The following is a 17285-nucleotide window of genomic DNA, read 5'->3' on the forward strand; positions in this document are numbered from 1 at the left end:
CCAGCCCATTCCTCTGCCAAGTAACGGATGGGCAGATCTAATTAGTACCATCTGTCCCGCTAGTTGCAGGTGGTTACTGTCTTACAAAGAGATGAAAGCAACAATCTTTTAAGCTTTTCTTCCAGGTCCCTAACTCTAGGCACAATGGTAACATTATTCTTTGACACCTTGTGTGTATTATTCTCTGAATATCTAATTGGCATCTAAGAAGAAACCATTACCTCATTGAAATATTCTTTGGAAATTTCTATGTGCTTGTGTCATGTTATGAAAATGTTTTAGAAAAAGTCGTCAGGAAAAGAAGAATGATCCTGAACAAATATTAGACCCAGAAAGGCTTCAGAAGCTCCTGTCTGTAAGCTTGGATTTGTGATGCTCAGAGCTTCTGCGAGCTGGGCCCCCTCCGTGTTAACTGAGCAGAAATCTCCACCAAGGAGAAAGACAAGCCAGAGCACAACTAGAAAAACCACTTTGGTCAATGTCAGATTTCCAGCAGGATCTTTTTCTAACAGCCCCTTAAATATTTTTAAAACACTTAAAGTGTAACCCGTAGAGCCTGTTCAGTGCTCTCCTTTCTTCCTCTGCACTTTCAATAATTTATCATGAATCAAAGTTTCCAGACCCTTCATCACCAAGATCACACTCCCTCAAATGTGCCCTCCTAAGGTTTGGAAATTGTCTCAGTCAGATCAGGAAGCTATAGCAAAATACCAGAGAGTGTGTGGCTTAAATAATGGAAATTTATTTCTCACAGTTCTGGAGCCTGGAAGTCCAAGATGAGGGCACCAGCATGGTCAGTTCCTGGTGAGGGCCCTTACCCTGGCTTGCAGATGGCCACCTTCTCATTGTGTACTCAAACACAAGATCATTGTGTCCTCAAATACAAGAAGGAGTGGGCTCTGATCTTTCCCTCTTTCTGTAAGGGCACTAATCCTACCAGGAGAGCCCCACCCTCATGACCCTATCTAAACTTTGTTGCCCCCCCCAAAGACCCTTCTCCAAATACCATCACATTGAGGGTTAGGGCTTCAATGTATTAATTTTTGGGACACATTCAGTGAATAAGAGAAATCATACTTCAGTGGACCGTTTTATTTGCACAACTTTATCAGTGCAGAATAAAGCTTCCTCCTATATTCTCACAATATCTTCCTCTTACTATGATAAAATATTTGATTTTTTCCTTATTAATATTATACTATTGGGATCCAAAATTGAATTTAGAGTCCAAGTTCTCACTTTTACCATTTTCTCTCTCAGATAAGTTTGTACAAGTTTAAATTTCCATGCTGAAATGTGCACACCATCTTGTACCATGGTACAAGAGAATTTTGCTTTAAGTTTTGCATATTCAAAAGACTTATGTCACCTGAGTCTCATAACAACAGGAGCTGGGACCAAAACCCAAGTTTTTAACTACAAATTCATTGTGCCTTCCTCCTAGTATTGTGATATTTACAAACCTGAGCAGTTTGTCTTCCAAGTCCATATTTACGTCCTCAAATACATTCAAAACCATATAAGACAAATTGCAAGGCCATTTAAAACAATGGAGCAGTTAGAGATAAAAATTTACAACATTTGGGGAGGAAATTCAAATATTGTGCCAAAAAAAAAAAACTCATCCGACAAAGGGCTAATATCCAGAATCTACAATGAACTCAAACAAATCTACATGAAAAAAACAAACAACCCCATCAAAAAGTGGGCGAAGGACATGAACAGACACTTCTCAAAAGAAGACATTTAGGCAGCCAAAAAACACATGAAAAAATGCTCACCATCACTGGCCATCAGAGAAATGCAAATCTAAACCGCAATGAGATACCATCTCACACCAGTTAGAATGGCAATCATTAAAAAGTCAGGAAACAACAGGTGCTGGAGAGGATGTGGAGAAATAGGAACACTTTTACACTGTTGGTGGGACTGTAAACTAGTTCAACCATTGTGGAAGTCAGTGTGGCGATTCCTCAGGGATCTAGAACTGGAAATACCATTTGACCCAGCCATCCCATTACTGGGTATATACCCAAAGGACTATAAATCATGCTGCTATAAAGACACATGCACACGTATGTTTATTGCGGCACTATTCACGATAGCAAAGACTTGGAACCAACCCAAATGTCCAACAATGATAGACTGGATTAAGAAAATGTGGCACATATACACCATGGAATACTATGCAGCCATAAAAAATGATGAGTTCATGTGGTTTGTAGGGACATGGATGAAATTGGAAATCATCATTCTCAGTAAACTATCTCAAGAACAAAAAACCAAACACCGCATATTCTCACTCATAGGTGGGAATTGAACAATGAGATCACATGGACACAGGAAGGGGAATATCACACTCTGGGGACTGTGGTGGGGTGGGGGGAGGGGGGAGGGATAGCATTGGGAGGTATACCTAATGCTAGATGACGAGTTAGTGGGTGCAGCGCACCAGCATGGCACATGTATACATATGTAACTAACCTGCACAATGTGCACATGTACCCTAAAACTTAAAGTATAATAATAAAAAATAAATAAATAAAAGAAAAAAAAATATTAAAAAAAAAAAAAAACTCAGAGAAGAGACATTCCAAATTTACAAAGTGAAGTTCTCTAGACATTTGGACAACATTTAGAAAGAATTTGAATCACTAATACTATAAACTATTAGACTAGTGGGAATTTAAATAAACCCCATAACTGTCCATATGATTACAATTCTAATTTCTAGTATACTTACCATACTTTTACTTACATATAGCCAATTGCTATGTGTACATTTCACTATTTAAGTTTATTTTTATAATACTCCTTTGTGGTTACTATTATTCTTCCTATTGTTTCCATTTGGGAAATTTAGACTAATCAATATTAAGTAGCCTTCCTAAGGCTACCAGCTGGGAATTTGCAGAGCTAGAATTCGAACCCATAACTGGAAGATTCCAAAGCTGTTACTCTTAACCACACAACTGTAGTTTTTGACTAATTTGAAAAAAAATGATTACAAGTGTCTATTTAGAAATGAGATAATTAGTAGATTCAGATGTAGTTCAGATAAAGACTTTATGTTGTTAAAAACTACAATGGGAGGAAACCAAACAGGACACAAATGAATTTTCTCTGCTCATACACGTACTCAAAACCTCATTGTTTACTTAAGACTTCCATCTTGACTATTCAATTTAAAACAAATTCAACATTTTTAATTGCTTTCTGTATCCAAGGCAACATTACAGGTACTCATTCTTGTGCCTGGGTCACTGGAAAAATTTTTAAAAGTAAAATAAGCACCAGTGAAATTCAAACACACCTAGCAGATGGAGAAGGCTAAAGGATATGTAAATTTATTTGTAACAAACATTTAATTTATCTTTTAGGAATGTTAGCTAAGAGCACCTATTCTGTGCAAAATGCATCACTAGAAGAAAACAACAACAATCAAGCTCCCATATTCCAAATGCTTAAAGGTAGAAAGAAGGCACTATGTCCTTATTACAATCCCCGGCAAGTGAATTAGGAAATAACATTATAAAATTTCTTAGAACTTTCATCATATGTGTTATTTAATTAAAAGGTGAAACTGCAGCAAAGTGTCACTTCATCCCTCATGTCATGTGCCAGAAAAGTATTTTCATGGAGTCTATAAATTCATTATTTCAACCCTCCATACCCATAATAAAAAGAGCTCAATTATAATTAAAATACTATGTCTACTCACATTCAGTGGTATTCCACTTTTTAAAAAATGTTTAACGTCTTTGTTAAAACACAGCAAACTTACAGAATAAGACCACAGATCTTAATAGTATTGTAAGAGTATTTTTAGTTGGGACATTTTAAAATAAAATTTGTTTCCCAGGCTTGTATGTTTGTGACTCCTTTTTCTGGCAATTAATTGTAAATTTTCTCTACTGAGTTAAATACACAAAACTGGGTATAAATTGTCTCTTGTCTAGGTACAGACCAACGAAAATATCGTTTTATGTCTGTTTATCTGACATAAACTTCTCTGGAGTAGGAGACATTTCTTACTGATCTTTGTAGTTCCGGCACTAAATGAATTTTTAAAACAATGTGCTTTGTGGTGGTTGTTTCAAGTAATTCCTCCTAGAACAATCCATAGTAGTTAGGAGCAATGATCTCAAACTACTGAAATGGGGAATCAGAAGGAAGAGGGTGGCGAGAAGGTGAATGGCAGAGATGGAAACAATGCTTAATTCAATCCATTTTGTTGACAGTAAATTCAAGAATTAACTGTTTACATCTCTCCAAATGTTCCTATCTGCCTTCTGAGCTCTGTTATACAGCTACTACCAGAGGACTAGGTGGACTCTAGTATTCACATTTTCTACATGTCGAAGAAGTATTATTACTACTTAGTTTCCAGAAATTTCATCTCAGTGGCTTAAAAGTTTATGAGAGAAAAAGGGAAAAATTAAATGAGCAAATCAAGTCTTTTGACCAGGCTAATGAATTTTGCAGTCTTCAAAGGGTTACCTGAACTTCTGCTAGTACAACTTGCCAGCCTTAAATGCAGAGAGCAATGGTGGAGAGAACAGTAAAACTGTACTATAAAAATAAATTACTGTCATGAATATTAAGCAACAAGAATATAATAAACATGACTGTTTGCATGATTCTGATTTATTGGTACTGATATGCTTATAAATTATGACACTAAGTGTTTATTCTAGTTGTTTCAGAATATGGGCCAAACAAAGCTGGGTGGACACTTCCTGCAGACCTGACCATCTGCCACCAAATTCCTACTTCATCGCTCTTGTCATTGCGTTTCTTATGTCAGTGGCATCAGGGCCATGTATGAACAACCATTCCCTTTTAGTTCACTTTGCAGACTGAAGTAGGTTGCCTTTCCAGGACCTGGTGTGACAACCATCATCATGAAGTTTGTGATGTCTTGCAGTGGAACAACTGCAGCTGCAAAGCATCCTGAAGGCTGTTCCAACTTACGCTGTTAAACAGTACTCACTTTTGACATAAGAGGGTCCATTACTGTATTTATGAACCTCTTGGCACCAGATTGGGGATTTCCCAATGCGAAGCAGCACTGCATTTTGCATACTTGCTTAGCGGTGGGGGCTCCATAAAACTGGTGCTGAGAAGTTAAAGACCTAAAAACAAACAAACAACAACAAAAAAAAAACAAACTGTGTATTCATATAGAGTATTTCAACTGCCATAAGATAACTACACAAATAGCACTGTTGTTCTTTCTAATATCCACAAGTAAAAGTTATTAAGATTTGCTATCGGTTTTTACATTATTTGGAACCAGATATTTGTTCAACAGATGGCTAGAATAAGGTATCACATGAGAAAATAGCATTCTCCTGCTTCAGGTTTTTAGCTTTCATGTTACATCTCATCAAAAGTTACTTCAGGAGATTAATTATTTTAAAATTTTCTTTTCTCTAATGTTGGTGGAAACCTGCAAGGAAGACAGCCAGTAAATTTACAGTAAGCTTAATGAAAGATGCAATTTTCACACAGTAAAGTATGCTATAAGGGTATAAGTTGGTGCTGCCTGTAAAGAACTATTTATGATATAAACTTAGCTGTAGATGAAATGCCAAAGTTCATGATGAGACAAGGCCTGTTACTGCTTTGAATCAGAACTCTTAGAAAATTTGTAGAAGGACTTTTGGCTATATTTAGCAAAAGCCTTTAAAATGTGCATGCATTGTACTGACAGTTATATATCTAGAAATTTACCTTAGGACATTTTCAGAGATATGCACCAGGATGTATACAAACTTGCCCCTCAAAACGTTACTTATAATACTGAAAAATGTAGAAGTATGTGTACAAACTTAAGGAAGGTTAGATAATGGCCCATTTATATTATGAAATACTAAGCAATTGGTAAATTGTGATATAGAAAGCATTATTTCACAAGGTAAAACACCAGTAAATATTAAGAGAATATAAGTATGATATGGCATGTATAGTATAAGCCTATTGTAAAATATGTTTGTAAATATTTATATGTAGAGAAAAGAATGAAAGGATTTACTTCAAAATATTAGCAGGGAATGATTATACAGGTTTTTTTCTCTTTTTTGTTTTCCTGTGTTCTGCAAGTTTCTGCACTAAGTATATTTGTAGTGATTTTTTTTTATGTATAAGAAGAGGGTGAGTAGATAATGTTGGGGGGGATTTCAGAATCAGTTGTTTGAAGGCTTCTCAAACCTGGCTTTTTGATCCAACTCACCTTTGTGGAAACAGATTCCTGGACCCACCCAGGTAGATGTTGATTCATTATGCCTAGGGTAAGTTTCCAAAATGTTTTCTAAAAAAAATCATGAGGAAACCCTCAGGTGATCCTGGCGGCAGTCACATTTGGGAACCATTGATTTTGGTTCTTTTTCCTTGGTGAAGCCAAATAAGAGGAGAGCAGCTCTTCCTACTCGTAGTATGTTGACATCACAGCACCTTGTCCAAGCCATGCTATATGCTCCTCAAGGAGAGTACTGAAGAAGTAAGAGGTACATTCCCTGAACTAGAGAAGAACATGTGAGCACATGTGATCTAGCAGCACAATGAATGATGAAGACAATAAATGTTCTACAGAAGGGAGAGACAAAAATGCAGTGTTTGGGAGGCCTTCATGAAGGAGGCATTAAGAGTATATGGAGTTTGGAGAGCCAGCCAGGGAATGTTGGCTCCAGCCAAGCACTGACTCCAGCCCTGAGACCAGGCTGCTGTTTTGTGGAAAGTGAGGAATTGGGGTTGAAGGCAGCAATGATTTTGGAGACAGCAGTAGGAAACAAAGGAGAGCAGATACAGTTAATCCAGTATTGTGAATCCCTGAAAGCAAAGCAGTAATTTCTTATCCTCCTGCCTATCACAGAACTTTCCACAGAAAAGGGACTCAGTAAATTCTTGGTCAATAAATTAACTAATTAATTGCGGAGAATTCAATACTGCAGATGGGTTAAATTTTATGCTGCAGGCAGGGAAACTCCATTAAAGATTTTTGAGAAAGGTAGTGGAAAGCAGAAACCCATGTTTTAGAGAAGATAATGTGGTGGTAATTGTCAGGATATGTTTAAGAGGGGAAGGGAAGCAGGAAACCCCATTGTGATTTGGCACTACATTTGGCTATCGCCCAAATATAACCTTGGGCAAGTGACCTGAGTCCTCTGGGACCCATGCATGGATATGCCTCAAGAGGCTCATGTGCCACTCCCCAGAAGATTGGCCAAATTTATGTACATGTGAATCTGTGTATTTTCTGGAGCAAGATTCCTAGATGTGTGACACCTCCCCTCCACCCACCCCCCCCCACCAAAAAAAAGTTATAGAGTGTTACTGAAAGTATACTTTAAAGACTGGTAGCATCAGAATCACCTCGGATCATGTTAGACTGTAAATTTGAGGTCCCCACTCCAGACCTCCTTTATGATAACCAGTGAATATAGAGTCTAGGAATCTCTTTTTACAAGCTCTCCAGGTTATTAATATGCAGGCAAAAGTTTAAGAAGCATCTAGTAGCTTGGTTACATCTAAGGTGTTCACCAACTTAAAAATATTTCACTATTTTGCAAAAGAATAAAAGGAAGAAATGAAGGAAAAGAAGAAACTTTATGTAAAAGATTACAAAAAAGAAAAGTTGCAATGATTTAATGACATCTCGGTTAAACGGTCTTGGAAGAAATAGATGGGTTAGGGTTTGAAGCTAGATAACCAAGAGGATAGAAATGTACTTGACAGAAATTGAGAAGCTGTGTTGATGAGTTGTTTTGCACACAGTAGAAAACTGAGTCAAACACAAATTATCAGTCAGATGATTATTCTTACTGGCATTGCTCCTACAGACAGAATCCGGACAGTTGTAGGGGCAAAAAAGTACAATACATTTTCCTTACCCATTTTGAGGGCCATGGCTGACACCTCTATAACAAAAGAAAGATTAGTAAGGGGAAAGCATAACAGATTTATTTAATCAAAAGTGTGACACAGGAACTTTCAGAAATGAAGATCCGAAGACCTAGGGAAAACTGTGCATTTTTATGTTAAGGTTTGATAGAGAACGAACAGCCATGTAGAAATGTGGTTGGACAAAAGTATGATCTAATGGTAATAGACTGGGGGTAGGGAGTGGAACTCAGCAAGGCCTGTTTGCTAGATTCTTTTCTGTGTCTCTGTATGACATTCCTTCCTCTGGGTACAGGGCAGGACACCCATCACATCAGGGTCTTCAGGGGAGAAGACAGAAAGTTAGAGAGTGACATTTCTAGGTTTTATGGCTTGCTTTGAGGAAGAGTTCTAGTTTATATGATCAGCTTCCGGGGAGAAATGAGAGGAGAAAGGAGTGCAGGCAAAGATCAGAGAGAACTTCCTGCTTCTGAGGCCCTTCTAATCTTCTTCAGTTCAAAGCACTCAGCATGCCAAAGGACCATACTTGGAGGTATCATGTTCTGAGCCCCAACACAGGTCAGTGTACCTTTGTAAGGAATTTGTTCAAGATTACCCAACTGAATTTTTACAGTGACTGGAACGTTGAATAGCCAGTCAGAAGTTGACAGTGATCAGAACGCAAGTTCGGCCAGATCAATGATACCAAGATATAAGTTGCTGCGTGCAAAAAAAATCAAGCCTAAAACTTGGATTCTCACGTGAAAAATATAAATGTGTATGCATGTTAAGCCATTTTAGTTCTAGTCCTCATTTTAAATGTCTCGATGGTTCTTGATAAATTATATTCACTTTATAGCACATACTTTTATCTGAGTATGTCAATAACAACTCAGACCCCTTCTATCTGCTATCCAAATATAGAACAGAAAGTATAGAAAACTGTATGTTGGGGGACACCCACTGCCATATAATTGCGACACCACTTCGTACAGTGAGCATGTTTGGAGTAAAAGTAATATGATTGGATGAAGATGTATGATGCAAAATTCCTATTACATAGGTTTGAGATTGTTTTACATCTTTAAACAGAGCATTAAGAAATAATCAAAAATGGTTAATTGAACAGGCAAAAATGAACTTTGGCTAATTTTGGCATAAGCTCTCCAGCTCTACAAGCCAAAAGATATCTTTAAAGTAAAATCTTTAAAGTAAATGAAACCAACTCCCTTGATTCAAGAAAGAGAAAAGATCTGCAGATTGAAAAGAACTTTTAACTCTAAGTCTACACTGTCATTAAGTGTACTTAGATTTGTACCATATAATTATTATGATTGTAGCAATTAATCAACTGATTAACATGTAGGGTCAGCAGGATCCAGTGATCTTATCTTGAAGCTTGAATTAATTAATTATACTTTCTTCAACATTATTATTTTCTATTTGCATACCCAGTTTGTACAAGTTGCCCCTTATTGACAAAATGTGGTTTAGTCTCTGTACTTATCACAGCAGGTATGAGCACTCACTGAAGTACTTTTGCTCATATAAAGTCAGAATTATAAGGAAACTGAAATGTCGTCAATACTTTCTGAAATAATTGTCTTTTATTTTTCATTATCAAATATATAAATTATACAAATTAATTAGATTCTTTTGAATGGTAGGGAACATAAGATCAAATAACTCTTGTCTGAGTAAGTCAAATTCCGCGATACTATTGAAGCATCACGTGGTGGCTGTATTATTCAGGAAATTCAGCTTATATTGCAAGAAATGCCCCAACCTGCACCTTGCAAACACAAGCTTTTTTAAAAAATATTTTTTAAATATTTTCAAATACATAATCTCTCTTGCAGAATCTCTTTGGCCAAGTTTTTGCAAAATGTTCAAGATGGCATTATTCCCATTCGTTAGATGAGGAAACTGAAGCAAAACACATGAAGTGGTTTGTCCAGAGCCTCCCAGATAGCTATTCTGGCAGTAATGGAATTGAAAAGCTCTTTCACCAAATATGTACTGAAGGATTTCTTCAGCACGCACTAATGTTGAAAGTAGAAACAGTAAGATGAGCAGGGCATGGTGTTGCACTCAGGAAATTCACAGTCCAGCAGGGGAAACAGACATGTGATGAGATATTTACAAGTGCAGCACCATAATAAATGTATGAAGGGCTGTGAGAGCAGAAGGGTAAGAATGTCAGTGCATTCTTCTATTCTGTTGCTCATGGTGTTTCAGAATGACACTCTTGATGGAGTTGTTTCATATGAAAGAAGAAGGTGGAATGCAAAAGAAAAAAAAAGATTGTGATATGAGACCTGTTGCATATGCTAAAGCAGCTTTTTTCTTTTTCCTAGAAGCCACTTATTAGCAGGGCCTGTCTCAGTTGGAGGCTCTGCCTTTTTTGCTTACAGACTGTCTGACGCCTTTATAAAGTGGGCCACTGCATTGTTGATTACTATACACCAGGGTGGTCTGTGAGCCACTGTTTTCTGCCATCCCACAGTGAGACAGCATCTTCTGACGTTCTGGTCTCGTATGTCCTTAGAGAACGGTTTGTGTTTCCCAAGAAGCTTAAGTCTGGATGATTTACATGTAACATTTTAAACTCCAGTTGTGTAATGCCTTGACTGGGATTTATATATGCTGAAAACAGTTTTTCAGTTCTGTATATGACAGTTAGTATGTATTGTATTGTCTACCCTCATTTATCTATGAGACCAGAGATGTGACCCACAGTAATGAGGATCTAAAAAGTGTGTCCTCTACTGCAAAATAACATCATGCAGTAGATGCTCTGACCACATACTATAATCTCATAATCAAATGATTAAGTGCTTGTCAATCCAAATAAGACGTGTTTAATTTTGACAAAAAGAAAAGAAAACCGAGAGTAGCAATTGGGTTAAGACATGAAATGGTCAGTTTCTTTCTGCCTGTGTTGAGTTTCTTTTCACCCACATACTCTTTTGCTTTTTTCCAAGAGAAATGGCACATTTTCTGGATGTGAGAGTTGGTCAAAAGATCACAAAAAAAGTCAAAAAATAATTCTACTCTGTGAATGAAAAATGGATATTTGTACTTACCCTCATAAGCATTAAAAGAAAATAATGCATGAAATTCCATAGAAATGTGCCTATCATGTTATACTGACTCAAACCAGAAGACCTAGAGTATGATATTGCTAATATAATACATGTGGTGGGTATGAGTGGAAGTATGTGTGTGAGATTTATCATTGCCATAGTGTAAAAGAGTTGAATTAGCTTCCACTTGACTAGATGAGAGCTCTTAGTTCTTATTTTGAAAGCAATCAATTGAGCATGGTTAATTAGGATATCACCAAGTAGTTAAAAAAAAAAAAAAAAAGAACATAAAAAAAGCAAGGCACTTATTAGAAAGTATACTTTGAATCTGCTCACATTACAGTGCTGATCGAAGGATTATGGAAAGAATACACCAAAGCAGGAGTTGTTAGGTGCTTTCTACATGAACACATTTTTCTTCAATTTCAACAAATTATTATAGTTATTTTATGTGGTACTGCAAGGCTGCCTTTATGTGAATCATTGAGTTACAAACAAAGAATACATTTCAGTCATCCAAGCAGTAATTGTAAGAGGACAAGCCAAAAAGATCTCATTTGGGGAAAAAATTAATCTTTAATTCTGTACTTATTCTGTCCGTCAGAGCTCTTTTATCTCAATTTACAAACATACGTCGCTTTATATAATGTTAAATTACAATGAAAATTCAAAATAACTAGCAACGTTAACTAGCTATCCAAGATTTATATGGTATCATTGAAGGTATGCCTTTCACTTAAAATGTCCCAGTGTGAGAAATAAATTAACTTTTCTCATTAATATGGAAAATAAGAATGGTTTTCATATTTTCACAGACATGCCCTCTTCATTATATTTTGATGGGTATAAGACTCATTTCAAAGTAGGTCCAGAAATCTAGCAGCCCAAGAGGGCTGAGTATTAATCCTCGGAATATTAGTCCACTCAGAGGATTGATACTGCAGCACCCAGCTTGTTCCCTACATCTACTAATAAACTCAATGGGAGTCCTCTTAACCCTGGGCAAGGTTGAACACTTGCATGATTTGAGGTTTTCAAACAAAAGTACAAAAACAAAATGCACATTCTGCCCTAATGCTTAGCTGGTTTCTTGTTACTCGAGTTCTATAATTTAAACTTTAGCCTTCTTGTATGCATTAATTTATGAGTTACTGTGCGGCCACCACTGAATGCAGCAAGTATCCTGCTATTTGTGTGCTTGAATGCAGAAACATACAAATGTTAAAATTTTACATGCATGCCCTAATTGTTCAAGTAACAGTATTAGGCAGATCTAAGTGCTAGTAGCCTACAGGGTAATTCAGATTTGAACATATATTATTTTTCCCTGCAGAAGATTGTTTTTATGTCAAGAATAAGAGCCATTTGTTCCTCTTCTCATTCGTGAACTCAAGAGAATAAACTTGGATCTACATGTTGAAGCTGGACATGTCAAGTCCTTGACTGTTCATGTCTACTAAATCCTTGGGCTATTTTGGGTTTTTCCTTCCCTCCCCACACCTCCTCCTCACGCTTTGTTATAAAACTACTTCAATTTACCTGAAAATAAGTGTGAATCCAGGTAAAAACCTAAATAATCAGAAATAATGGCTTTAAATTTCTAAATGAAAAGAGTTACCTTGTATCCAGTATGGTAGCAGAGGTTTTCACCACGCCCTGTAGTCACAAATAAAATGTCCTATGATTTTCATATAATCACAGTTTTTCCAAAGAAAATCCTTTGCTCATAAAGATGCAGTGTTAGGTGCACATTTCTCCATCTTCATCTATCTTTTTGCCATTCTGGGAGTGAACAGTAAGGTAGTCTTTGCAGTTCAACTATATAAAAGAGGGTCGTATCTCTATGAATATAACAAGACATAGTGCAAACCACACTTTTAGTCTCAGACCTAGTAATTTATAAGCAAGTCAAAAGATTTCTCTGACTTCATTTCATAACCCCTAGTCAATGTACGTGAGTCTTAGCATAGTCAGGGTCATAGAGAGCAAGGTATTTCCTAAAAATTCCTATATTTATCAAATACTGTAAAAAAGCAAAACCTCTCTCTAGCAACAAGCTTAATTTTCTTCTATCATTCATCATCATCATCATCATCAGTGTAACCAGTTGCATAACCAGCATGTGGTTCTATATTTCGATGTTTGCTGAAGAAGCAAGACACTGAAAGTCAGATCTGTTGTTCATTTCAAAACAGTCCTCAAATTCTCCTTTGGACAAGGAAAGAAAACTTTGGAGAAACTGACATCTCAGTCCCTGGTTAGGAAGTAAATATGGAAGTGCAAAATGGCATTTTTAAACAAAACTGCTTTCCTGACCGTAACTGAATTTTCACATTGTCAGCACTTCCATTATAAACATTTTTTTTAGTTGGGAGTTTATAACGCAAATGTAAAGATTTGCTATGGGCTAAATCTCAACCCAAGAGCAAATGTTTATACCAATTTTGAAAACAATCAGCTTGCCCATTTGTAGTTATGCATGTGTTCATCATCTGTTATTGCTTGTCCAATGCTCTCCAACTTCTGGGAGAAAAAGCAGACATCTGGAGAGAAGAAACAATGTTTGCTCTCCAGCAGATGTAGTCTGTTTTCCACAATCATTGAATAAGGAAGGTATCGAACAAATGTGTGCCCTTTAATACAAGGAAATGAAAATGACAAGATTCTGCCTGCATGCCAATACTGTGGAAATGCTAATTGGACAGTCTATGAATTGGCCACTTTGAACAACTAGAACTCAGAGCTCCACCCATTTTACAGGTGGAAGGAACTAGTATCTAATATGAATGACAACAGTGAAATACTTTCACCTATAAAGTACATTACACTTTAGGGATTGCCAGAGTAAGTGAAGAATAACCATTTCACTAAAAACTATTTTTACCACAAATATTTAACATTTTCCAAAATTTTATAAATTGTTTCTTGTCTTCCAGTTTCATGTTGTTGGAGGTTTTTTTTCTTCTTTTAAATTCCGTCAGTAAACTAAGTAGTCAATTTTTTCCCTGGGGAAAAAAATGATAACTCTAAAAAATGTTATCTAGCTATGGATCCTGATGGGCTGAGAGATAGATGCTGGGACTATGCAGATTTGTTTTCTCCAAAATGATATAACATTTCAGTTTTCTTTGGTGAAGTGTCTATTTTTATTACCTACCTGAGGTGGCACTATCATTATTCAAACAGCAAGAATGGTTTACCAAGAAAAGAGTGGGTTGGGAAGTGATTTAAATTCTCCTGCTTCAGGCCCTAATGAGTTCCACCACATCAAACAAGTCACGTGTCCGCTCAGATCTGTAGTTTGCTTCTTTAAAATGGGATTATTGAATTAACTAACCTGTAATCATCTTTTCTGGTTCTAAAATGTGATGGTTTTATGGTGCTATACCTTACAGTACCTTCCTCGGATGTTTGCAGTTCTTCAGTGAACCAAGTCTTTCATCTGATTTTCCCATAGTATTGGGTACTGCACCCACTAAGTATTCTCAAGGTTAGGAGCAGAGCCAAATGAAGGAGACAGGAAAGCACCTTTGCCTTGTTTTGAGGAAGGTAAAATTGAAGGTTTTTACACATGGCAAATCCTGATTGTCAATACAATTCATTTGGTATTGCTGGGGTTTCTGTGGTACGTACTGAAGATGAAATTAAATTCTTGGTTTAATTTGTTGTATCTATATGGTGGCAGTTAACATACCTCGCTATTTGGTATATAATGTTATTTTATTACCAAAATCCTTACAGTAAAATATGATCTTAAAATTAACTCTAGAGTGTGATTACATAGCACTCGTCTCATGTTTCATTTTCACCCAAATCAGCACCATAGGTTGTGCATTTTTGCTGTGCTAAAGTTACATTCCCATGTTGTTCTAGAGGACTCCTGCAGGAAACTCCTGTATCTCTATGCACTAAGTACATTGTTCATACATAAGACTGTCAATTACTTATATCTTGTGATCAGCAGAAAAAGTCCACTGCAGTGAATTCACTGAAATACAGGTTTCCTAGTCTTACCCAGAATAAAAATCAGGGAGCATTTAAATTTGTTTGCTATTGTTATGTGTTCATTTTCAATAAAAGCTATAGTAATACAAAGGTAAAATTGTTCTGTATTGAAGTGATTCATACAGATTTTTTCATCAAAATTATGAGCACAACTTTCACCCCTAAATGTTTCCCCACGCCCTTTCATAATTTCCTTCCTCCACTCCCTGGTCCCTGCCCCAGAGCAAATAATTTGCTTTTTTATCTGGTTTATTTTATGTAGAACAATTTATTTTAAATTTCATTAATGCTGTTGTTGTGTATCAAGTGATTTTATTGCTAAGTAGCATTCCACTGTATGGATACAACAAAATTTGCTTATGATTTTATTTACTTGTTGATAGACATTTGGAGTGGTCAGTTTGGGCTTATTACAAATAAAGCTGCAATGAATACTTGTGTATAAGCCTTTATATGAACATACGCTTTCATTTCTCTTGCATAAATACCTAGGAGTGGAATGACTGGGTCATATGGTAGATGTATATTTAACTTTAACTGCCAAACTGTATTGCAGAGTAACTATATCATTTTTCATTCCTACCAGCAGTATAGGAGATATGCATTTCCTCCACATCCTCATTAACACTCAGGATGGTCAGTTAATTGTAGCCATTTAAGTAGGTTTGTACAGGTATTACATTGTGGTTTGTATTTCCATTTCCCTAATGGTCAGTAATATTGGGCATCTTTTCATGCTTATTTGCCATCTTCATGTTTTCTTTGGTGAAGTGTCTATTAAAATATTTTGCCCAGTTTTATTAGGATTTTACGTTTTCTGATTATAGAGTTTTGAGAGTTATTTTTGTCTTCTGGATACAGTGGAAATACCATCCTTTCTCTTTTTTGTCATCTCTGCATTTTTATCAGATGTCTGTTGTCCATGTAAGTAGAGGTTTATTTTGAGACTGTCCACTTTGGGTCATTGATCTATACATCTAACTCAATGCCAGAACCACACTTCTTTATTAGTGTAATTTTGATATAAGTTTGAGAGTCAGATAGTTCTCTACTTTTTTCTTATTCAAACTTGTTTTTGCTACTCTAGGTCAAGGGTCAGCAATTATATTTTTCCTGTGGAGGGACAGAGAGTTGATATTTCAGGGCTTGTAGGCCATATGGTTTCTTTTGTAAGTACTCAGTTCTACACTTGCAGTGCAAAAAACAGCCATAGGCAATATGATATGACTGTGTGGCTGTAAAGCTTTATTTACAAAAGAAGGCAACAAGCTGGAAGTATACCGCAGGTCATAGTTTGCTGGCATTTGTGCTAAGTCCTTTGCATTTCCACATTAACTTTAGAATCATCTTGCTAACTTATATATATTTTTAAAAGCTTGCCAAAATTTTAATTGGCTTTCCATTAAACCTGTAGATTAATTTGGGAGGAATTGACATTTTCACAATATAGGGTTTTCCAACCAATGAACAAGTTATATCTCATTATTTAATGAGGTCTTCTTTAATTTTTCACAACAGTGTTTTACAATTTTACACATACCTTTGGTCATATTTATCCCCGAGTATTTCATATTCTTAATTCTATTGTAAATTGTATCCTTATTTCATTTCCTGCTTGTTTGATGCTACTATACAGAATTGTAACTGGTTTTGTATTTTGTTTTGTACTCTGCAACATTGCAATACTCAATTACTGGTTCTGATAGTTTTTTGGGAGAGCATCAGATGTTCTACATAGAAGATTATGTGATCCTTGGATTAAGACAATAATATTTTTTGGCTTTCTAGCTGGATACATTTTTTTTCCTGCCTTATTGCATTGGCTAAATCTCTAGTACCATGTTAAGTAGAAATGATGAGAGTGGACATTTCTGTCCTGTTCTCTTCTTTAGATGGAAAGCATTCAATCTTTCATTATTAAATATGATGCTAGTTTTAGGTTTTTCCTTCCCATCTGTCCTGAGTATGCTAAGAGTTTTTAATCACAAATAGATGCTGGATTTTCTCAGAAGTTTTTCTGCATCTACTGAGATGAACATAAGGTTTCTCTTTTCTAGTCTGTTAATACAACAACTACATTGATAGATTTTTAAAATGCTAAATCAAAACTACATTCCCAGTACAAACCCACTTGGTCATGATATATTCATTTTTGAGTTTCATTAAAATTTTCTTTAGAATTTTCATATCTATATTTATAAAGCATATTAATCTGAATGATTTTTTTCCACCTTATATCTTTGTATGGTTTTGGTACCAGGACAATGCTGGCCCTAATTGAATGAGCTACGAAGTACTCCATCCTCTTCAATT

General features: G+C 36.1%; 1 protein-coding gene and 1 long non-coding RNA gene across 14 annotated transcripts in view; one reads left to right on the top strand and one right to left on the bottom strand.

The window, feature by feature from the left end:
* ARHGAP15 (Rho GTPase activating protein 15) overlaps nt 1-17285 on the top strand; it is a 638934-nt gene that overhangs the window by 506708 nt on the left and 114941 nt on the right. The gene's annotated exons all lie outside the window — the stretch shown is intronic.
* Nucleotides 4630-17285, bottom strand: part of ARHGAP15-AS1 (ARHGAP15 antisense RNA 1) — a 135343-nt gene continuing 122687 nt past the window's right edge. For 4 of the 5 annotated variants that reach the window (XR_007087251.1, XR_007087250.1, XR_923394.3 and 1 more), the window contains 2 exons: nt 12586-12808; nt 4630-5135 (listed from right to left, as the gene is read on the bottom strand). This is a non-coding gene — a long non-coding RNA (ARHGAP15 antisense RNA 1). Of the gene's footprint in view, nt 12809-17285 lie in introns of all 5 variants that reach the window. The other variant, XR_007087252.1, reaches the window with a different exon arrangement.

Source organism: Homo sapiens, chromosome 2 (genome assembly GCF_000001405.40).
Source record: "Homo sapiens chromosome 2, GRCh38.p14 Primary Assembly".
Classification (NCBI taxonomy): domain Eukaryota; kingdom Metazoa; phylum Chordata; class Mammalia; order Primates; family Hominidae; genus Homo; species Homo sapiens.